Source organism: Homo sapiens, chromosome 2 (assembly GCF_000001405.40).
Source record: "Homo sapiens chromosome 2, GRCh38.p14 Primary Assembly".
NCBI lineage: Eukaryota > Metazoa > Chordata > Mammalia > Primates > Hominidae > Homo > Homo sapiens.
Genome location: NC_000002.12, coordinates 209,968,073 through 209,991,775, shown reverse-complemented (window position 1 = coordinate 209,991,775; position 23,703 = coordinate 209,968,073). Strand labels below are relative to the sequence as shown.

The 23,703-nt window shown below is 37.3% G+C and overlaps 1 protein-coding gene across 3 annotated transcripts in view; it reads right to left on the bottom strand.

Moving 5' to 3' along the window:
* Positions 1–23,703, bottom strand: part of UNC80 (unc-80 subunit of NALCN channel complex) — a 227,465-nt gene that overhangs the window by 7,521 nt on the left and 196,241 nt on the right. For 2 of the 3 annotated variants that reach the window (NM_032504.2, NM_001371986.1), the window contains 9 exons: positions 21,885–22,008; positions 20,819–20,944; positions 19,452–19,575; positions 18,506–18,712; positions 15,473–15,657; positions 14,698–14,863; positions 13,068–13,247; positions 9,459–9,597; positions 6,864–6,920 (listed from right to left, as the gene is read on the bottom strand). In NM_032504.2, the coding sequence (NP_115893.1) occupies positions 6,864–6,920; positions 9,459–9,597; positions 13,068–13,247; positions 14,698–14,863; positions 15,473–15,657; positions 18,506–18,712; positions 19,452–19,575; positions 20,819–20,944; positions 21,885–22,008 (1,308 nt within the window). The remainder of the gene's footprint in view (positions 1–6,863; positions 6,921–9,458; positions 9,598–13,067; positions 13,248–14,697; positions 14,864–15,472; positions 15,658–18,505; positions 18,713–19,451; positions 19,576–20,818; positions 20,945–21,884; positions 22,009–23,703) is intronic. The other variant, NM_182587.4, reaches the window with a different exon arrangement.

The window sequence follows — 23,703 nt, the reverse complement described above, 5'->3', positions numbered from 1 at the left end:
ATCTTTTTAAAATTTCAATTTAAATGAAAATAAGATGGACAAATATCGAACACATCAGACACAGAATTTATTTGGGTGAAGGGGCACATTCAACACATGTTTGCAGCCTGAAGTCTCTGTGACTACTGAGTAAATGAATAGTCACATGGGTAAACAAATGTTTTTTTAAAAATGGTTTTAGATTTAAAAGGCTGGCAAAGTATAGCTATAGTTAAGCTATCATTACAACTCAGGAGCTTTAAAATCGAGTAACTGCACTCAAACATACCATGCAGTTTATAAAAGCAACAACCTGCTCCCCCCAAATTTACTGTGTATGTGTGTCTTTTGTATGCAAAAAATGACTGGAAATAGTTGCTATTTTAGTGTTGGGTGAAGCTGAAAATACTGACATGGGCCCATGGTCCTTTTTCATTCTGCATGCATGTATAAAAGGTATTTATAATGGGCGTGGGGATGAAAAAAGAAGTATCCTGTGCCCCAGAGAATATTACAATTCTGTGGATGATGCCAATGTGATTATTTGGTTAATGGTTAATTAATTTCTGCTTTGCCTTTGCAAAAGGAGAGTCATCTACAGATAGTTCTTAAGAGTATAATATTCCACAGAGGAATCCAGAGTCAGCAACTGCCCAGGGAAAAGAAAGACTATATCTGTTCATTTCCATTTTTTAAATAAAGAGCTACTTAAATACCCAGCTGCAGTAGTAAGGAGAGAAACTGGTGGTGAGACAGGCAATCAGATGTTTCCCCTTTTGTGTTAATAATTGGTTAATCATCACAAAGTTGACACAGTCACATTTGTCATTTTTTAAAAGTCTTACACTTCCACTAAAAAATCAATGTGATTCCCAAATAGGGTTTATCACGGTTTTTATGAAATAAGGATGTAATTACACCATTTGGGGTTCACAATAACGAAATTCATAAAGAGTACCAAAACAGGTGCTTTTTAAACTTTCTTGTTCTCCTGAATGTCAACTTCAAAAATATCCATGTGCATTATCCTTATACATATATAACCTTGAAACAGATGCGACCTTTCCATGAAGACAGAAAATTACCCCAAAGGAACAATGCAATAAATTCTGATAAGCAATCCAGACAATGTTGCTGGCATGTTTGAAATGACATCTCCTTATTAATTATACATGTTAACATGTCTGTTAAATTGGAAAGAGTATTCAATAACCATATGCACAAAAGTAGAAACAAGCTTCTCCTAATACTAAGCAAAGCTTTCATTGGAATGGATTTTTCATTGACATCTAAATGTTACCTCAGTTCCCTTGGCCATTAAGAGGAGGTTAATACTTACCAACTACCTCCCATTAAGGTAGAGAAAAGAAGTTAGTTGATGTACAATGGTTTGAACATGAAAAGTGAGGTACATAGCATGCTTTCTTGTTTTACATTTGATGTTGTAATGAGTTTATTGCTTCTAGAATACTAAAAGGAAGCAGGTAATAAAATGTTTTGAAAATAATAGGGCAGAGAAAATGAAATTGAGGCAGTCCACTTGTCTCATTTTTATTCAGGAATCTGTGATTGTGAGAAAAATGGTGTAAGAAAAGAAAAGAAATGCATGTTACTCAGGGAGTGTTAAATGTCAAAACATAATGGTAATTTCATGATGATTATTCCAGGAGAGGATCATAAGCATCGAAATTTTCTCTATGGATAGAGAGGCTTATATCTAAGAGACGTATCAAGTTTATAGCTTTAGTATTTAGCTGTTCTGTAAATGATACAGCATTTCATCATGGAATGCACCCATCAAAGATGAAATTACAAAATATATCCTTGGAAATATCCCAGCTTATAAATTATACTCGCTCTAAAAATGTGATTGCTAACATGTTTATATTTGGAATATCGAAGGCTGGCTTAACTCTGTACAGTTAGGAATAAGCAGCCAAAAAATTCACAATGATAATTTATACAGAACATGTTTCTTTTTCTGGGGTCTATATCAAATTGAAGTTGCATATAAAAAGTTTCAGTTTAGCTTCTCTCCACATCATGTAATATTTCAGTCATCTGCAGGATTTGTGATGTATGACTATAAGATGTGCAATACTAGAATGAACCAGGAGAAGACTAAGGGGTTTTCACTAAGCACCTCTCTATGTTATGTCCAGTTTTTATTTAAATTTTTTGAAACAGTCCCACCATAGTCCCTACGTACTACAACTGCAGTAATCAAAATTATTTTTCCCTTTAGGGAAATACTATGTTATATTTGATAGTCAAATTTTAAAATATTATATTGTATTTTATGGTCACAAAATATCATACTCCAATAGACAACTGAATCCTTTCAGATAAGTGAAATGTGTATTTCATGCTCTGAAAAGTTGAGACTATATGTCGAGATATGTCAGAGTAGTGGGACAACTTCTTATAATTGTCCAATAGAGAAAACTGGTTTTCTAATTTTTTTTTTTTTTTGAGACAGAGTCTTGCTCTGTTGCCCAGGCTGGAGTGAAGTGGCACTATCTTGGCTCACTGAATCCTCCACCTCCTGCGTTCAAGCAATTCTCATGCCTCAGCCTCCTAAGAAGCTGAGATTACAGATATGTGCCACCACACCTGAATACTTTTTTTTTTTTTTTTGGTATTTTTTGTAGACACAGGGTTTCACCATGTTGTCCAGGCTGGTCTCAAACTCCTGGCCTCAAGCAATCTGCCTGCCTCGGCCTCCCAAAGTGGTGGAATTACAGGCATGAGCCACGGTGCCCAGTCAGGTTTCCTAAAATTTTTAATCTTGGGAATGAGATATGACTGATTTCCATAGTTTTGGCCAAGTAATAAGGTGGAACAATAAGGATATAAGCAAATAAAGTTTTCTAAATTGAAGCTAACATCTTACGATATATTTAGGAGTAAATAATCTCTTATATTTTTGAGTCAATGAAAAATATCACTATGGTAAACCATATAATCTAGGTCTTAGAGAAGTAAATGCAACTGGGGCTCAGCAGAACTGGTGTGACCCATATTATCTACAAAAACCAAAAGCATCTTTTTTGAAATGCAAGGAAGTAATTTATAAGCTAGGGAAATTTAGAGAATGTTAGGAAAACAATTCTGACATAGATGACCTCTTCTCTCCTATATCAGTATAATGGCCTGGATTGCAGTATATAAATATGTATGCATCTCCTAATGAAATATATACCTGATACTATGGAGGCATATAGTGCATAAAGGATATATTTTATAAAGTATATCTTTTATGCACTATATACACTTCATCCTTTATAAAGGATGCACTTTATAAATAAGGTATAAAGGATAGGTAAACAAGGGCCATTCAATAATGCAATAAAAATTCATATCGCTCATTTCAAAATTACAAAAAAATTATAGATTGAAGTATATTTCCCATAAATTAAAAATTTAAGTAGAAGCACTAGGTGAGACCAGCACATGGAAAAGTGAATTCATATTTTCATTGCTTTTATCTGTGCTTTTGGTTTCAATTTTAATATGGTTTAGAGAAATGTAGAGGTGGCACAAAAGACATGCAGCATCATCGTTTACCCTGAGTGATTGCCTTGTGATAGGAATGCATGAAGCCAGCACTTCACGGGAGCGATAAGGTATCTGTAGAGAGCAGGGAAATACGCAGTAGACTAAATCCTACTTCCCCTTTTCTCAATAAAAGATTATTGTTTAAAATTTACTTAACCTCAACAACATCTGAGAAACTATATCTTAAGTGCCACATAATTTAGAGATTACAGGCTAAAAATCACATTGAAAGGGGGAATAATCTGGATCTTAGATATCCTGTGAGAATTGATTTAGCAATGGCAAAGTAGATATCTGTGTATCACAACATATTTTCTTAGTCATTAATTCTCAGCTACTTAAAAAGGTTTTTTTATTTTTTTTTATTTTTTGGTATTTTGAGAGTACTTGCCAAGTTTTTATGCTTTGAAAGTGTGTATAATCATGAGATGGGTTCCACTATATAGGTTATTTTTCTTTCTTTTCACCTAGACTATATAGTCTTGTTCAAACATTTTTATTTTTCACTGTGATTAAAAGTATCCTTGCAAATTCAAGTAGCATTATAATCTTTTTTTAAAAAAAAATTAGAGTTGACTGTCAATTTCTGCCTTTCAAAATGTTCTAACATGTCCAACCAAAATCTAATTCTTTGGTGTAAACATCTGGCCATAAGTTCTTGAATAGCCTCTGTATGTCTCTATTCTTCTGGAGAGAAAACATGTCCATGGATATGTGTGCGTGTTTCACGGCAGAGACAGAGAAGGAACATCTACAATGAATTTCTATATCTCTAAGAGCAACAGTCTCTAGAGAAGAGAATTCTCCCATGGAATATGATTTCATCTTATTAATTTCCAATACAAAGAATCTTTTCTGCAAAGCATAGTGTTTCTAATAGGCTATTTCTGGGGATGAATCTAAAAGAAACCAGTTAGCACATTTAAAAAAAAATCCTAGAAGTAATTTTCTATAGGTATGGCAAATTTTTATTGATTTCCACCTATTCATCAGGTTATCTTGGTCTCTTCCTTATTTAGCCCACTCCATCCAACTTACCCCTTTTGTCTAAAACAAATGTCCTTTCAAAAGGAAATTCTCATGCAAGTTTGGTAAAATGTTGTAAGAGCATGGGAGCAGCAGAGTTTATTATTTTCCCTTAGATATGCTTCCTGATATTCTCTAAGCTTTAAGGCCAGATTTTCATCAGGACTACTTTGGGTGTATTTTAGGTCCTCAGTGTTGGAGTGTATGTTAAGCGTCATTACCTGGTTAATGCCTTACTACTTCAGGATTTTAAGAGTCTGCAGCTTAAAGGAAGTTCATGCCAAAAATAAGAAAGTCTGGAAACTAAATATAAAAAGTATATATCCTATTTTGTAAACCAACCTCCTAGTAAATGCCAAAAGTTCCTCTCCTCCAAAGAGAACTTGGTGACGTGATGTAGTTCAAGAGATACAATTTGCAGGGTATGGCAAAGGTGGATGTGCTACTGGTTGGTAGAAAGCCTCTGTGCTATTAGAATTATTTCAGAAGCCAAAGTGAATGCCTCATCTTCCCATTTCTTAATGACCACAACTGGGTCTGGGTGACTCACACCCAGAACTAAAACACAATGGTCACAGAAACAACGGATCAACGGCAGTTGATCTAAGACAGTCATCAAAGTACTACCATGACTGACTAATTCAGCTGTAGACAAATCAATAGCTTTGGCTCTGAACCAGTCTCACCTACCAAAAACTTTGTGTATATTTCCATTGACACTGGAACCAGGACACACTGAATTGGTTTAGAAAACTACAAATAGGTCCTCTGAACCCTGAGCCTACCAGAGAGGGCCAAATACTTGGGAGAGTTCATAAAAACAATCTCAAACTCCTGCCTTCTCTCACCAATCCTTACTCATCAAGAGTAGAATTTGGCCTAATTAGAAAAGCCCCAGCACAAAGCTAGCTAAGTGGAAGTCTGATTCAATACTCTCTACTCTCAGTAGGCCACTGAAATTGTCTTCTAATCAAGGTTCCCATCACACATGTAATTTTAAACATTAAATACCTGCTTTCTTTGAAAGAATGAACACTCTGCTAGACTTGGTTCAGATCTCTTCCAACACCGTGAATAAAGGGAAGCCCTCTTGAGGACTGTTTTGTTTCTCAACTTCCTCCTTGCCCCCAAAGCTCCTGCTAATGGAATTAAGTCTGCATTCTGCAGCACTTCCACATTTACCACCAATAAGAGACTGATCTGTCAAGGCAAGGGCTGGCAAACACGAATGTCATGAATTATGGGTCTGGTTAAAAAAAAAATACACCCGATGATGGACTAAATTTCCCATTTTCAATTGCAAAAGAAAATGTGAAATCTGAACAAGATGCAAAGAAAACAAAAGACAACCTTTCACAGGAACAGCCTCTCAACATTTCCTCATCTTTGTGATAAAGCAATAAACACGGGTGTATTGTACTCACTAGATAGTGCAAACCTGAAAGGGAATGTTATCTCTTGAGATGGCACAAAGATACTCTAAGGATGAACAAGAAGCCTTACCCCTAATGAGGATTAGTTGAGAGGTGTGAATCAACAGCACAAGATTAGGAATGTTTGACGTGGTTTATCTGAGTGTTAAAGGTGCAGTCCCCTTTTCTGAAGCTTTAAACCAATAGCCAAGACATTACATTATTTGCATCATAAGACTTCTCTTACTTACCAAGAACTGTTTGTGTCTGATATTTCATGCAAGTTTTGGAGTCACCTTTGTGCTAGAACAGACATTCTTTGTATAAGTGTTGCTGGAACAAGCTACTATAGAAGTCTGCCCAATAGCATGCATCAAAGAGAAGGAATTATAGTATATAAATTGTATCCACATTACTATTCTTTTTATAACATCATTGTCTATTTTCTTACAATCAATGGTATTAGCTAAAAGACCTGTCTTGATTTAATAAGGGGCTTCTTGATGATGTATTAAAGGGCCTCTGAAAAACAATTCTTAATAAATATCAGTGTGGGAGGGAATAATTAGATGGGATAAATTTAACATTTGGCATACCAGACTTTTTAGACATCCGTGGGAAATGCCCCATAAAGAATTCTATAATTTTTTTAAAGTAAGCTTTTCAGGCTTACTTGATTGACATTGAGCTCTGAAGCTGAAAATGAAGGAGGGTTTGCTACACCTTTGACTTCCAGGCTCATATGTTCATGAACAACAAAGGGCAAGGAATGGAAATAGATATTAAGACGGGGCGAGAAGAGACAGAGAAGACAGAGAGACAGAGGAGACAGGGAACAGCTAGTTTCCCAGCACAGACACCAATAGACAGGTAGCATTGACACTGTACCTAGAGAGGCTGCCCTCGGCGGCCAGGCCCTGGGAGTCATCGAGGACATTAGGTTCACTGCAGGAGGGGTAGGGAGATGAAGCATTTAGGGAAAGAAAATGAAAAAAAAAAAGAAAAAAGAAAAAAGGCATGCAATTTTCTGCTTCCAAGAACCAAAAATAAATAGATTTAACCGAACAAGGAAGGAAAAGGAGACAGTCAACCATTTCACCTTGTGCTGGGTTTGTCAAGACATAGGACTCAAGGCAATGGGGGAGGAAGGGCTTTGGATGGATACAACTCTCAGAGGAGTAACCTATTTATTGGTCAAGAGTTAAAATGAACTCCGAATGGGCCCATAGGCTCTGAAACACATTGCAGAATGAATCTGTAGAAGATGAAACTACCATTTCCTTTGGTAACCATTTGGCTAGGTGGTGATTATTTTTAACCTGTCTTATGTACATGGTGTTTCATTGACCAGGACCCTGCTTCTTTCTTGTGCATTCTAACATTAGCACACAGAAACCACTTACCATGAACTGCCACAACCAAGCTCTTGGAACTGATGCCATTAAGAAAAGTAAAGAAAGAACACAACTTTCCCTGCTAATTTTGCAGTGAAAATGCAAGTAAACAAACGGAAGGAAGATATCTTAGAAAATTCACATGGAACTCGCATTTACCTCCTTACTCTCCATCCTCTAGTGACTGAATTGTAAATGCCAAAAGAAGAAACCTGTCAGGTTGGTGAGAGAATAATTAAATTGTTTATCGATTGATTGATATGTATGTAGCTGAACTGAGATTTGTGAACAGAAACTGTCATGCTTTATCTGTCCTTCCTTCAGTGCCTAGCATTGAGCTAAGCATCTGTGAGGCAATAAATACTCGTTAAATTGGAGAGAACTAAACCATTTAGAAAACTGGAGTGCCTGGCCCCAAAGAATTGAGGCTCACCTAAAAGTTCACTATAAAAACAGCCTCTGTCCCTAGGAAGAGACTCACTTTCCCTTATGTACAGAGACAGTATTATTACCTTCGCTAGTCTTCCAAAATATGAATGAAGCCCAAACTATTTAACTATATTATTTTTTCTTGATTTCTAGAAATCAAGAAAATGTACAATCAAGATATGTATAATAGGACAAATTTTCTCCCTGCAAACAACTTGACCCCTTAATGAATATGTAAAAAGGAAATTGATGGCCTGGTTATTTTAGGTAAATAACAATGAAAAACCTCTTTATGAAATTTCTACAATTCTATAATTTAAATAAAACTTTCAAATAATTGATTTTTAAAAATATTCTTCATAGAACCATGCACATTGCTAGCAATTAAAAATAACTGATAGCTACCAATATTAGCTGCTTGTGTGGCTTTATATCTTTTTTAGGACATGTTATTGTTTGGCTTTGATTTTGTTCACACTTTTTGTGTATAAGACTTTCTTTTCAAAGGAAAATTACCAAATGGTAGGTAAAACAATTTCTTACAATGATACAAACCTTTATATAGTATTAATCTTCGTAATAATTAAATGGTACTTATATAAAACATTGCCTTCTTAAAAAGTATGCAACTTGTTTATTAATGATTTATCATTTTACCCTATTCTTTGATATTCTCCAAACTTGGGCTTTATTTCACAAATTTTATTTCATCTGTGTAGTTCACGAACCATTTGCGAAAGGATTTGGGTACAGGGTAATTATTCCTACATATAAACTGGTTTTATGTGAACATCAGAATATGCCCTGAATTTTATTATTTTCCATGTCTGAATTGTACTACAATGAATCTATAGGTATTAAAAATAAGCAACACACTAAAATCACATAAGGTCAATTCCTTGAAAAACTCAATTCCTAAAGTGAAAATATCATTGGTTCCAAAACATTTATCTACTTAAGATAAATGTTTTGACTCATGTGAGATCATTTTCATTATACTTTCATTGTGTGTGTGTGTGTGTATATATATATATACATGGGAAGTTTTTTTTTACTTATATTCTTAAGAGACAGAGAACACACAAAATATTTAAAGGGGTTTTGTCATGGAATCATAGAACTATAGATGAGAAGTTATCTTAAAGATCATTTTAGCAAACCTCTTCATTTTACAGAGGGAGAACTGTGGATTACGGTTAAATGACCTGCCCAAGGTCACACTCAGTGGCATAGATCCTTTTCTGCTTGGTTAAGTGTCACTACCTACAACTGAATACTAATAATATATCAGAAGCCTAAACTTTACCAAAAACATAAAGATGGTCCAAACTCTTGCCAAGTACCCATCATTAGCTTAGCTAATGATAAATCTGAAATACAAGAATGCCATTTGACAACAGAAAGAAGACCATGTGTCTATGGAAAATTTTTAAGGAGAGACAATACTTGGAAATTGGGATCCCTTCTACTAGCTTGGCTTAGAAAACTGCAAAGTGTTGCCTGCAGGAACCTAGTTGACAAATCCTTTGTGGAATGATCTATCTAAAAACATTACCATTGCTTGCTTCTCTTTCTGTCTTTGTAGAATAACAGGAGTGTATTTTCAGAATTTCTAACTTTGCCCCCAAATGCAGAGTACAGTATAACCATAGCTGTTTACCTCTGGCTGGGTAGCATGCCCACCTCAGCCTGAGGTACAGACATGCTGGAGACATGGCTGGAGAATCGCCTCCTTCCAATGGCACTCAGGAGGTAAGCTTCTTGTTCACTTACCACGCTGGGCATGCTTATAGAGTCATCTAAAAGGGGCAAAGGAATAGAGTGTTACAAAAACTATGACACTGATCAGAAAAACCCAACCAAAGCTGTACTTGGGTTCTGTCCTTGGCTTGTGTACAACTTAGGGCTGTGTGTAAATCTAAATTATCATTGGTCCCTTCATACAGATAAAAAAACTTAGACCTTTGGGGGTAATGATAATTCTTCGTGTCTATACATCTCCCACCCTTCCACACTAGAACATCCTTCATGAAATAAATGTAAATTTTTACAAGTAGATTATTTGTGAAAGTGAACAGGCATCAGCAAATTTAAGATTTGAGAAAAGCTAGCACATAATTTTTTAAAAACATTCCATAAATACTTCAGGAGACTTTGTTATTGAATGAATCAAATACATTTCCTTGACATTCAAAAACCACATTCAGTACAGTTAATAATTTCTAGACTGCTGAGGGAAAGACAATTTCAGATATTTTTAGGAAAAATATTTGAAAGCTATAAAGTTAAGAAATAAATGCTGATTTTAACCGAAATTTTAAAATTTAAGTATGTGATTTTGTTTTCTCCATAGAAGCAGAGTTTTTTTTGTTTTGTTTTGGTTTGTTTGTTTTTTGTTTTTGAGACAGAGGCTCGCTCTGTTGCCCAGGCTGGAGTGCATTGGCGCGATCTTGGCTCACTGAACCTCCGCCTCCCAGGTTCAAGTGGTTCCCATGCCTCAGCCTCCAGAGTAGCTGGGACTGGAGGTGCACACCAACACACTCAGCTAGTTTTTGTATTTTTAGTAGAGATGGGATTTCATCATGTTGGCCAGGCTGGTCTTGAACTCCTGACCTCAGGTGATCCACCCGCCTCGGCCTCCCAAAGTGCTGGGATTACAGGCATGAGCCACCGTGCCCAGCGAGAAGCAGAAATTAATGTATTCAAATTCATATGAAAATTAACTTTAGCACAGTATCTATGACAAAGTGACTTAATTCTAAATGAGCTAATGTTGTTTGTTGATGAACACTAATATTCTTTGATAAACATATTGAGTTTTGGAGAATGTGTGCTACTGTGTAAGACCATCTGATACTATTTATTTAAAATATCAAAGTAATCATATTTCTAATTGAACTTATTTCAAATCAAAAGGTGAATATAAAACGTGCTAGCAATTTTAATTTGCTATATAATCACTGACTTAAAATTGATTCTTGTTATAGAATGATATTTTCTTTTTAGATATGTCCACAGGAAAGAGAATAAACAAATGTGTCTTAAAAATATAAAAAATGTGGTAGGATAGATTCAGCTATTTCTACAGAGCCCTTTCCCAAATCCTATTGATTATTCCCCCTTATTTGTATTCACATATCACTTAACACTTATGTCCCCAGTATTTGTTTGGTGATGAATCATGTGCTGTCTACCAGTAACTCTTTTGTTAGGTGTTCTTTATTGTAAATGTCTCTCATCTCCTCTACATAACTATATCTATTATAAGATCTTAGAAAGCAGAGAATGTATCTTTCTCATACTTCCTTCTTCCTTATCTTATACCCGATAGGCCTTAATACAAGTCTGATTATTGAATGTAAGAAAGTTTAATTCAAAACAACAATCTGGTTTTCATACCCCTCCCTATTTAAATTACTACACACCCATATCACAAACACACAATACCATTTGTTAGCAATCTTGCTTTCATTGGGATGGTTACGATGTCTGTGATCAGAGATATAAGCAAAAAATTGCATGGCTCCCCAGTCCCCCTGCTGCCTCATCAGTATGTTAGTGTTGGCTTTTGGCCAGTGATATCCCTGTTTAAGTCTTACTTACTTTTCTTTCCTTGCTCCTTCCTACAGGTTAGGTCATCTATTATTTATAAGGTTACCTGCAAAATATATTTAGCTCTACAAAAATAGGTGATATCATTTCCTATAATTAATAAGAATTGCTGGGAGAGGCTACTTCAAGCATTAAAGAAAAAATTGATTTTCTTTAAGTTTTACCCATACTTAGTGGATATTTAAACTGCTGATCCTTTTCTCTTTCATGGTGTTTTCTCAGTCAAGATTTCCCTAATTACAACTTTAGGTGTATTTTCATGAGCAGTCACCAGGGTGATTTAGACAGAAATGTGTCTATAGGCCAGGCACAGGACAATATGATTTTTCCCTTGTCTGACCAATGCTGAAGCTAACTGCAAATATTACTGGTAAGTACTGACAAAGCATTTATTTTTTCTCTTCTCTTACATTCCCAACTGTTGTAGGACATTAAAACACTTTTATTCATCTTAGTTAATTAAAATTCTAACCTCAACTCTCGTTTCTTCTACTTAATTTAGTTCAGAGTAGAGCTTTTTGTTGTTGTTTGGTATGGAGAGCCTCTGAGTGAAGATCTAAATTTTGTTCTCATTCATATGGCATTGACAACACAACTTTGCTATAAACGTTATATCAGAGTATCTTAACACACAAGTGGAAAATAATTAATGCAATATTAAGACCCCTGAAATGACAGTAGCATTTTAATGGAATCTTTCACCCTAATTTTACTTTTTATAACCTCCTGTGAAGCATACATATGTAGTATTTCTCCTCATGTCATAACACCAAATCTCTAGCACATGCCTTAGAAGTTTCTGGGCTGACCTAGTCACTGGGGATTCTCTTAACTCAAATTTGGAGTACTTTCCCTCAAGACAGCCTGCTGGTTTACATACCGGCTGGTAGAGCCAACTGGTCTTTTCTGAGTCCTAGGCATATACACGGCTCACTTTTCCTTGCTTAATGAGGCCATTTAAGTTCCAATCAACCCTCTAAGCAAGATGTCCAGGAAAAAGGAGAATAAGTGCTTTCCTTGGTTAGTTATCCACAATTTAAATGGGAGTTAGTGGAAAAAGTTGACTATATAGGTTTAAAGAAAATTTAGGAGTTTTTAGATAGGAGTTGTTGTTTTTGAGACAGAGGCTCGCTCTGTTGCCCAGGCTGGAGTGCATTGGCGCGATCTTGGCTCACTGCAACCTCTGCCTCCCGGGTTCAAGTGGTTCCCATGCCTCAGCCTCCAGAGTAGCTGGGACTGGAGGTGCACACCAACACACTCAGCTAGTTTTTGTATTTTTAGTAGAGATGGGATTTCATCATGTTGGCCAGGCTGGTCTTGAACTCCTGACCTCAGGTGATCCACCCGCCTCGGCCTCCCAAAGTGCTGGGACTACAGGCATGAGCCACCGTGCCCAGCCAGAAGCAGAAATTAATGTATTCAAATTCATATTTACTTTTTCCCTGAATTCTTTTTAAATGACCAAAGGGTATCAAGGAATTTATAGAAATGCAGGCATTAGGAATCATGGAATCAGTCACATTTCCCCTAGAACTCCTTTTGTAAAAATGACTAGGGGATCAGAAGCGGAAAAGGTCAGAAGGGCAGTAATCCTTCCCAAGCCCCTGCTCGTATGGCCAGGCCATGTCTACTGCCCAGATTCTCTGGAATGACCTACTTTCCTCATCTTCCTCATCAGTCCGACTCAGGGTGTCCTGCGAAGCCTGCTGGGATGGCTCACTGTCCTGCTCCCAGACAGTGCCCGTGCCCGTGTTAGAGCGGGACATGGTGGCCAAGCTCAGGCGGTAAGCAGAGGTGGAGGTGCCCACGGTACTGATGGATGTCTTGCCTTGGTAGGCTAGAGGATGCGAGAGACCAAAGGAAATGCATGGTGAGAATCTTAAATGTCCACTTCAAAGTCCTCCCTGACCACTTGTATTTTTTAGGAAAGGTTAGTTAAATAATGTGTCCCAGACAAATGATCTTTATAACAAAGTTGCAAATGAAAGTGGGGATTTTTTATTTTAAAGAATCAATATTGGCCACTGATATAATTAAATAGTTCCCTTGCCAGAACATAACATCTGTAACAATATTAAATGCTTTGACATTGTTGCCTTTCTTATTGGTTTTCTATTTTATTTTCCAAGGTTGGTAGGATGCAAATTAAATTTGACCTGAATTGTAGCTTCCAACTTGGCAATTTTTACTAAGAAATATATCTTATCTGACACAAGCATATCAAAGTAATAAATAAGTTGTCTGATGTGAACCCCGCGATGCATAATCAAAACTGTTCTTATTCTCATTTTCTGGAAATTACAACCTATAAAATATCCCTCAGTTCTATGTCAGGTTATTTTATTACAAAGTAGAATATTTGAATGATAATGTGTAAACTTCACCAGGATTATACCTGTCAATTTTTTGTTTTTACCACATTGTCTGCAAAGAACAATAAAAGCTTTCAAAAGAAAGCAAATAACCCTTCCCTCCCACAAAAAAGAAAACCTATCACATATTACATTTTACTTGTGGGTAATGACTGCCCTCTAATGGCAAATAATGATTTATTTTCCTTCCTCAGTAATTTGCTGCTAATACATAGTTATAAGAAAGAAAGCAATGTACTCTCAAAGAATACCTTTAGAATAATGTAAAGAAAGTACCTCCTAGTTTGCCAGCTCTAAGGGAATCCTTCCCCTTCCAATGTGTGAAAAGTTAAAGTTAAAGGCTTTATAAATCAATCACAGAGATCTGGCTGAAAAATCCCCTTACAATAATCACTTTCTATGTGACAGTAGTAAGTTATTTACTTGTAAATTATTTATCTATTTTCTACTGTGTCTGTTTCCTCATTTTTTACAGGGACTTTCAATTATATACCTTGAAGGTATTTGTATAGATTAAAGGAAATAATCTACCATAAAATAGAAGCTCAATAAATGAATGTCCCCCTTCTCTTTTTCCAAAAGGAAATAAAGGTAATGATTTAAACCATTTTTCTTCCAATTAAATACTCAAGAAAGAGATTAACTACTAAAATGAAGATTAAAAAATATATAGAAAAGGAAAACTAAATTCTTATGATATCCTTTTGATTTCTATTTTGTTACTGACAAAAGAGGAAGTCAAATCTAGTGGTGGTCAAATGGCTAACTTATTAGAAATGGTCAAATCTAACAGTGTACCAAAATGGCTAACATATTCATAGTTCCAAAAAGTGTGGTGACCTGGACAGAGGGATTCTTTGTAGGCTGTGAGTTCCATTAGTCAAACAAATTCACAACACTCTCATGCACACTCACCTGATCCACTATGAACTGCCTCTTTTAGAATTTTTAGTTCACTGTTGAACTCAGCAATGAGCGAGCTCTTACACAAAGGGCGTGGTATGAAGCGCCGCTCCAGCTGGTCGGCAATATGTTGCCGGGCGGAAAGCTCTTCATGATTCTCTGCTGGTTGGGCCAGCAGCTGAAAGGAAGGCATAACATTCTCAGGGCCTCAATTTTCCATCCATAAAATGGGCTAATTGCTGTACCTATTTCATTGTTGTGAGGAATAAATAAGGTAATGCATGTGATGTTCCTAGAACGGCACTTTACACAGGAAGTGCTTAATAATTACATCGTTTTAAATCACTGCCCTAAGAAACTGAGGCATGAAAAGACCAAGTGTAGATGGGTACCGAGGGTCTTGGAGGAAAAACATACGTTAAGTATCCTATGTTTTTCTTATGTTTATTTAAAATCAGATCTCAGTCATGTCACTGAAGATAGAAGATTCTCCAAACTATTCCACTGGACCAATCTTTTGGGTGGGTAGAGTGGGGGATGATTAGTAGGGAGCGGGCAAAGTTTTACAGACTCCAACAAAGCTCTTACTGTGAAGGCATTTCTAGTGTGAAATTTTTATCCTCTGGAATATATTTTTGGGCGGTTTTCTCATCAAGCATGGTATTAACAGGCCCTACTAACTGGCAACAGTAGGTACCATGAGCACTCCTGCCATATTCCTGCCTCAGTAGAGAGCCACACATTCATTTGAGCTTGCCACTTTCAGGAGGAGAAGCACACACCACACCTTGCACTGGATGAAAGGGCGCAAAAGCACAAAGATGGGTATTCGGGTCCGCACGATGAAGTCGAGGAAATCCCAAAGGGCCAGGCCTCCCACCTTCCGCAGAGCCATCTCCTTCACCTGGAGGCTCAGCCAGTACCACTGGCTTCCGAGCTGCCTCTCAAAGCAGACGAGAATCACCTTCAGCGCTTCACACCGGGAAAAGAGAAAAATGAGCCTGCGGACGTGTGCTTCCGAGGAACCCAACCTACATCCAGAGCCCTTTATGCACCTTTAGAAATTTTCTAAATTTCTAAGCTCTCTCCATGTTTCTAAAAACTTCGTATGTATTCCCGAGCAAGAGTATTCTGTACATCGAGACAAAAACGTGTATGCTAAGTGTTTTGATTCTGATGAAGATTACTCAAGTATCTTTCTTAAGTGCATCTTAAGAACTACTATCTTGGAAAATATAGAGCAATGTGGTCCACTGAATTGAAAGGAAAATGTTTCATAAACATGATGTGTGGCTAACGTTTTACCTTCCAAAAGTTTTATCATAATAACTTTATGGTAATACGGACATATCACTCACATTCTTAGCTAAAACATGGATCTTAAAAATCTTTTCCTTTTTTCTTTTAACCATAAAAATAAATATTTGTGTTACTAAAAGTAAAATAAAACCATGAAGAAGTGCACAAAGTTAAAAAATATTAAGTCCTTTTCCTTCCCAGTTCCCTTCCTGACCCCACACTAAACTGCTCCCCAGAGGTAACCAGTAAATGCGTGCAGGGTATCTTTCCAAAAATAAAAAACACCTTCCTTCATCACACACTACGTCTGTTACTAAACCCTACTGGATTTATTTGTCCATATCTCTTTCCTCTCAGATTCCAGCAGCCCTTCACAATCTACATTTATTTTTATTTTTCAGGAAGCAGATTTCCCAAACCGTGTGTCAGGACAAACCAGAGTATTGTGAAGACATCAAAGATTATGACGGGAGCTCCCTCTGCCACTACAGCTTTTACCATGGAGTCTGCCATGGGGCAGTCAAGTGACCTGGGTCTTCTTGATCATTCTTAAGGCCCATGAATCTCAGCATCTAAAAAATGTGTATACTAAACACATTTTGATTCTGATTAGGAAAACACAAAAATCTTTCTTAAGTGCATTGAGTGACTAAATGCACACAGAAATCCAATTCTCTAAAATCCTCAAGAGTCACATATGCCTTTACCATCTTTAGGATGTTTCCAGGAGAGAACCATGCCATGTAACACAGAGAGAGAGATTGCAAGATTCCTTCTTACCCATATTCCTCCTCAAAGTCTCACTTTTCACAGCAATTGCTTATCTCAATTCCTTTCCCTCAACTAAACAAACAAACAAACAAATAAAAAACAACACTCCTCTTTCTCTACCATAATTCTGATGACGTTTTCACTGTTACTAGGCCTGTTGGCTGACTTTGGCTTTCTGCCATTCTACTTTCCACCTAAACCTCCATCAGCCTAAGACATAGCAGTGTATAAAAGTGACTCAAGAACAGAGACTCATTCTAGCTCTGTCACTTATTAAGATATATGCCTTCAGGCAAGTTACTCAACCTTTCTGGGCCCCAGCCTCTTCACTCCTAAAATGAGAATAACACTAACTTCTTAGAGTTATTGAGAAGATGAGAGGATTCAATGTGGTAATAGTGTAAAGCACAGAAAACTGCTTGGTGCACAGTAAGTGCTCAAAATAAATGTAAAAACAAACTTAAAATACAGGTTCAGTAGCCTGGCCATGTAACAAAGTAAAAACAACTCTTTACTGAAAAGGCAGACAGTGGAGAGGACAGAAACTCATCAAGTGTCTTCTCATATCCTTCCTGTACATGGTGAGCCCCTTTCCTCCATCATCCTCTGTGCAATCCTAAACTTCATGTAGGGCTCTATGATAGAGCTTAGATTTGAATTCTACTTTTGTATACCTTGGCCAACTGAGCATCCATATGGGTTAGTCCTAGGTACATGCATTCCTTGTGTCTTTTTCTCCTTTTTCATTTTCATTGTCAATCCCCTCATTTTCAAACACATCCCATTATAAGGCAGTTCAAACACCCCTCCATACTCCAAACTCCAAGGACTCATTTTCATCAGTGTGTTTGTGTTCATCTTATACTTCTCACCAATATCTGCTTTGGTGAATTGAAAAATATCAGGCAAGACTTTCTCATTTTGAAATTCCCCACTGCCAGTGCCACTTATTCTCAGCGCTATGGCAAGAGTGGTCTTTTCCTGCTGGCCCAGTTCATTCAGGGCCAAAGAGTGGCTTTCCATTGCTCCCCGGGTCACGACCAGGTTAAAGGCAGCATAGGATAACGGGAAAGTAGGAGTCAAAGAGGGAAAGGGATTGGGAAGCCTATGGGAGCAGGACTGGACTGGCCTCACTAGAGTAATGATCAAAATGGAGATTAAAGACATGTTAAGGGAGGAAAAAGAGCTAGTAGGGGCATAGCATATTGCAAGGTCACCAAATCTTGCAGCATAGGATGTAGACTGCCCAAATACAGAACTCCATTTATATAGGTGACAGATCAATGAGCCCCACATGTTGTGCAATGCTGTGTCTTTGTATACTAGACTGAGTTTAGATCTTATAACAGCTACTGAACCTCACTAGTGATCTGGTACTTAATCAGCATGGAAGAATCTTTACTGCAGATGCCTTCCTTACAAGCCCAGACACTCATATATAAAACAGCCAAGTAATTTAGGCATGGCAGATGTGAAACCACGTTGTTTTTTGGCATATGTTTACTGAAGGAAACCAGACTTTTTTTGCAAGGGTAATGTTTCTTGTTCAAGTGGCTTCTTTAAATACATTCTGGATTGAGGTCTCTTTAAATACATTCTGGTTTGAGGTCTCTCTAAATTCTTTCTGAGTTAAGTTGGAACTTAACTAAGTACATCTATTTATTTATTTATCTATCTATCTACACATATATTTTCACATACATATACATACACATGCACAAACAGAGAGAGAGAGAGAGAAAGTACCAACCCAAGTATGCTGCTTGGCTGGTGGACTCAGCCAGCCCTTCCCTGCGCAAGTCTTTCCCCGCATCCCCAGGGGTGGAGCAGTGGGCTGGGGAGCTCTCTAACATGAAGTTCTTGCTCCTGGATGTGCTGATGATCCGCGGTGGGAGGAGTACATTGATGACTGTCTGCAGCAGCAGCTGCACCTCAGGCTGCTCCAGCCATGGGCTATCTGAGGGGCAGAATTTGGAAGACGGAAGTGGAAAGAAAAACATCACAAGGTAGACTGTCCACAGTAGATACAGAAAAACTCAGCTCTTTCCAAGTCCAAACTACAACACCCTAGAAATTCAGGTGTTTCCCATCAAGTACAGCTTCACCAATGGACAGAAACAGTGTTCCTGGCACCTGAGTATTTTCTCCATAGTGGGTACCCAACAACCTGTGGTCTTAGCCAAATGTCTCGCTTACCATTTCAATCTCCTTTCTTTTTGCAAATACTCATGATGCACTGTACTTACATTTGAGACAAACTTTTCCTAAAAGAATCCCTCTACCCCTAAGAAGAAAGAGTAATGAAAATACATTGGAATTTAATGACAGTGGCAGGATTTCTGCTAAACCCAGTGTCCACGTAGGTTGTACAAGTTTGTTCACCTGTCAATTCTTATATTGTACTTCAACGAATACCATTTTCTCAACTGAATTGAATGACTGTTCCCCTGATTTTTGCTGTACTGAAATGACTTTAAATAGGACGTATCTCCTAAGAAGTAGAGCAGAGAAACTCTGGTCCCAGGTAGCTAAACTGAAAAGAAAGAAAAACTCTTATTTCCTAAGATGACCCTATTTAAATCATTCAGACTGACTTCAGTGATAGCCTTCATGGGAACAGGAAAAAGAAATAACAGCCTGACATTTAAGAGAACACAACAACAATGATAAATTTCCTTTAGTTAAATTAATCAGACCTTTGCTTCCAGATCCTACTGTGAGCACAAATGGGATGAGCAGATTTAAAAGCATCCCCTCCCTTCGCTCTTGATTGGTGAATGGGGAGATCACATGGCTTAAAGGAAAATCTTCTTTTAAAGCCTGTGCAGCAATAATAGAAGAAAAGATTAATTGACCACCACACCCATTTAGTATGTTTGTTTTTACACAGTATGATGGAGACGGTGACTCCCTGCTGGCTGCTCCTGTAAACTATGAGTTCAATTGTTGTCTGTACAGCATACAAGCTTCACTCAAAACTGATACTTTACCATTGTCTTGATATAATTGAGAGCTATACACCTAAAAAGATAGTAACATCTTGAATATTAAATGAAAAATTAGAATACTTATGGTCAGGTACAAAAACAACTTCATGTCCCCATTAATTTTCTCTATTTTTCTACCAATAAATATTTTAACAACAAAGGAGAAGGAAGAAAATCAGAACTTCTCACTTGCTCCTTTTGGTAGTTATTCCTCTGGCCCCTGCCATGAAAGGCCTTCTTCAAGCCAGGAAACAATATGCAATATACAAAGAAATATGTGATCTTTGTACGCAAGTTATTAAAGTGTATCACTTTAGGGATGTCACTGTTTCTCTTCTGCACAGTAGCCACAGCTCTTACTTGATCTCTTTTCTACCATCTACCCATTCTCTGGATGATGAGCCATCAAGCTTGGTTGTCAAACGACGGATGGGTCAGTTATCCATTTACATCAGTTGTGTACTTTCCATTGATTATGGAGCTTTCCAGTGATTTACCATTCTCTAAAACTGGGTGACACACAGAAATACTCAGGAGACGGGATTCTGCAATTTTTTTTTTTTTTTTTTGCCTTGGGAATGATTATTTTAATTTTAAGAAATAAATAAAGGGGGAGAACTTTCTTTAAAAAAGCACTCATAATATTCAACCCACAATCATTAAAGAAAATTAAGATATTCAAAGTCTAGTGATAACATTTGAAAGAATTTTATATTGCAATTCTTTCTGAAAATAATTTAAAACCAGATTGTGAATATTACTGCCTTTTAATTAACAATTGTGAGCTGATTATCTGTGAACCATTATTTTGCACACATTTTCAATGACTGAAGTGGTTCCTGAAGTTGTGGCAGGACTAAATGACTCTGCTATATTTGAGATCTCAAGAAGAATTACAGAAGCACAACTTAGGGCCAAGCTCAGGGCTGAAGCTCCAAATCTATAAAAGTTTAGAGATGTTTACACTTTTGTTTCACAGATTTTGCCCAGCCTTTGCAGAAAAAAACGAGAACACCATGATCTGGTGCCTCAACCAGCAACTTAATGAGCGTGACAAACAGGTAAGGCAGTCACACCTGTATCTGCAATGCTACAAGCCGGACAACAGCTGTGCTGAAGGGCAGAGGTGGTGAGAGATAAGGGCTGAGATGAAGAAGGGGTAATCCATCAGCAACACTGGAAGGTCCTACCACTCCCATCACCTGAAATACAAACAGAGCACATGACCAGCCTTGACTATTGCAATTTCATGCAACCGTAGTAAAGGAGTCTCAATGATGATGATAATAAAAATGATAAATTGAAGGTTGGACATGTTACTTTCAATCTTTTCTTTCTTGTTGCCTTCTGAAGGCATGTAATGTCTGGAGTCAGATCGAACATTACACTGAATTCAGCCAAGGTTTTGTAGAATGTTGTTTATAGTTAACTATGTAAATAATGAGAGATGAACCAAAAAGCTATTCTAATCAGGAGATTGGACACTTAGTTGTGAATTCAAAGGAATGCGGTCAACATTCCTTGATGGAGCAAATACTGACAACAATGATGATGGCAACAGCTCTATTTGCACTAGGCATTCCAACTACAGACTTATTGCTCAACTAGTGAAGCAGCAGGTCCTATTTAATGAGATGCTCTAAGATGGTTTCCACACATTTTACAAAACCTTGTCAGGACCAGACTCTAGATATTACATAAACAATTAAATTTTTTTTTCTTCACATAAATCCTAGACTGGCCAACTCATAGTGTCATTTTGCACCATAAGAGAAAAATATCCTCTTTGCATTTTAAGTTCCCCACCCCAGACTACCTCAACTTCTAGCCAATTGTGCAGGCTCCGCCACCCCACTCTCCAACTGGCAGCCCTCAACTCTCAGCGCAACTTGAAGAGGTGAATTGTCAAAGTAGTGCATGGGAAGCAGCACACCAAAATCCCTTCTGTGTAGGGATGGGTTCCTGGATCTCCCCACACACCACCTTGAAATGTACCTCACTATTTTCAGTGTCACCTGAGCCGTCTGTTTTCATGGGCAGATAGGGGCACAAAGTGGTTGACCTGTAAATCTTCAATTCAGAGAAGTCAATAGCAGAGTTACATTGTGCAAAGTTTCATAAGATTGCCACTTGGCTACTCACCAGATTGACACAGACATTGATCAGTGACCTAAGGTGAGGCAGGAAGGATATGATTGGCTGCCTCTGAAGTGTCAAACAAACCCCTTCAATCAAATTGCTGGCAGGCTCCCACTCAACCTGTCGCCTGGAATACAATATAGGCGCCATTAGCGTCTTGGCTCCCTTCTGGAGAGTCTGAAACAAGTGAATGAGACAGTGATTCTGATGCCATCTAAGACAGGATGTGTCTCTGGGATGAAGTTTACCCATATTGTTCCAAAAGCACAGAGCATACTGGGAGGGGAAGAAGATACTGAAAACGTAGCAGAGGCAGGCCTGCCCCACTCGACTAAATCTATTGAAGAAAAAACAGAGATGATGAATGGGTTGCATTTTAATTTCCCTGGTTTTAGCTTTGACAGAGGGTCCTAAGACTACCATCATAGAAAACTGATCACAGGGGTAATTACTCCCAATAGAACTAATCTGACCCCAGCTACATTTCTGAAACCTGTTTATCAGATTACACACGCCCATCAGTTTTTACACCAGACTACCACTAATTTGATTTATATAGCTTAACTCCTGCCAAGAAGATCACATTAGAAGAAAATAGTTTATTTAAACAATGTTCTTTCTTGGCCTCCCAAGACATGATATGTATTTTTTGGCTACTTTCTATGGTAGTATAAATGGTGTTACTGTATACATAACCCAATTAAATGAATATGGGATTTTCTGTAATAAAAGTCAATCCATTTCATAATTCTTCTAGTACTGATTCATCCCTGTGGCCCCAAAATAAACAGCTTGGGCTTTACTGATATTAACAGTATTTCCTTATATTTTCCTGGCAATACTTTCTAAGCTTATATTTTCTAGCGAAATGGAATCTGCAATGACAAATGGAAATGTATTCATAAATGAGGCTATGTGACATCTCCGACACTGAAGGTAATATGCAGGTCAGGTTCAGTCAACATTTCTTGTGTTGAACTGAGATCACCTAATGAATTTAAATCCAAGCCAACTCCATATTCATAGCCTATCTCCCGAGAAAATTGCCTATAACTGACCAAGCCTATGTACTAATCCAGAAATCTACTTTCGGGAAGCATAAATGGGTCATTTTTGGAGATGTTTAACGTCTTTAGATATGAAGTATTTAAGAAAGGAATTTATTTTGACGCACCCTTGTGAGACAGTTATAAATCTTTGATAAGCCATTTGCTGATAGACACAAATGTTCTATTGGGATCACTAAAGAAATAGTGTTTTAAAACAAGCATTTCCATGCCATTGAAATAAATAACCTTGAAATAATGTATAGGTAGTCATCACCACGGTATAAAAGAATATAAAAACAAATAATCAATTATTAGAATAAAACTTTTCCATTTGTTTTTTTAATGACTCCTGAAAGCTGGATTAGTGTGAAGGAGATTATGGACTAATACCTGAAAAATTCTGATGAATTGAACATTAAGTGCTATAAATTCTTGGGAAGGAGTCACACTGATTTTTGGGTTTAGTTTAAAAGGACAGAAAATTTTCTCACTAACCTAAACTTGAAATTTCCGAGTAAGTGGGTTTACCAGTGTTAATCTGTTGAACTATCTGCTCACTATCACTACAGTTTCCAAACTCGGCTCACATCTCTAAGTAGAGTGGTTCAAAAACATCTGCTAATATGTAGGCTACCAATTAATATTTCCCAGGTCACTGAACAAAGATCAAGCATTAATAGTGTTCATTTAGTACCACACTGAATTAGGTAAAAAAGTGAAAACTAGGTGTTTGTTTTCAATCCTGCGAATTTTTAAGCTTCTGCTTGGCGATT